The sequence below is a fragment of the Homo sapiens genome, chromosome 5, assembly GCF_000001405.40.
Source record: "Homo sapiens chromosome 5, GRCh38.p14 Primary Assembly".
Taxonomy (NCBI): Eukaryota; Metazoa; Chordata; class Mammalia; order Primates; family Hominidae; genus Homo; species Homo sapiens.
This window is the reverse complement of record NC_000005.10, coordinates 27,434,138-27,435,362: the sequence shown is the minus strand read 5'-3', so window position 1 is coordinate 27,435,362 and position 1,225 is coordinate 27,434,138.

Genomic DNA, 1,225 nt, shown 5'->3' with positions numbered 1-1,225 from the left:
ATTGGATTGGTTAGAAAACTATACAGGAGTGGAGATGTCTCATATGGTTTTAGTAAGATATCTGATACTTGGAAAAAGGAAAAAAGAAGCTTCATTTTCATTACAAGAAAAAGACTTAGAAAAAAATATGCGCACTATAGGAGGTATTGAGTAAAACGTTTGATTAGGATAGAAGGTTCCAGTTAGGCCAGGTGATGAACCATAAAACTATACAAAGAGATGTGGCACAGAAAGTTCAAGAAGTTCACTACCTAAGTTATGACCCCAGGCTCCTCTCAGCCCTTCAGAATATATGTCAACATAGAAGGAGCATGAATATTAACTTCACAGTGATTCCTTCAGGCCAGTTGACACGGAGCAAGAATAGCATTACGAGTTCTCTCCTGAGAAGCAGAGTATTTAACTACTATTCATGCCACAGTCTGTGTTAAATGTCAGGGCTGGAGGGAATACAGACATACAAAAGCTTGGTTGAAGAGGATTTTTTTCGTATGTAATTTAATTTGCTGTATTTTACGTGCTTATATTTCTTCTTCTGCAGATCACTTTCAGAAATAGGTAATCATGGTTATGGGTGAGAATTCGGAGTGATTGTCAAAATAAAAACTTGGCAGTTATATCTACCAAGGTTTTCTGATTTCTTCTTACCAACTACTATTAGCCTGAGTATACACAGTATGGTATTTTGTCTAATAAAAATTTATTTTTCTGTCTTTTCATTCTATATGTCTCTTAGCAAATCCTGTGAGACGTGACTGGCCCTAACATGTAGTAGTTCTTTAATCCTGCAATATACAATATTAACCGGCTTTTGTTTTCAAATTGGAAGTGAATAAGTAAACTTGCAAAACAGGAAATATCTCATTCAGTAGCCTTTAACAATGGAAATATACAAGCTAAGACGCAGAGATTTAAAATGCGATGATTGTGAAATGTATTTTGCTGTTTTTGCTGAAACAGTGAGTTTTTAAAATCAACTTGGAAATTCTGGGTTGTGAGGATCCCTGAAATAATATTCTACAACAATGAAGACTATTTTATTGACACATATACACTGTACTTTTATAGCCTTAAAATAACTAATATTAGATCAAAATTGTGTGTTCATTTGTCTCAGGATGTATCTCATCTAATAAATTAGGAGAGCAAGTACTAAGTACAGTTCTCTCATTGTTCTATCTTGAAAACAAATACAAAACTCACCTTAGCGACATTAAATGACTGC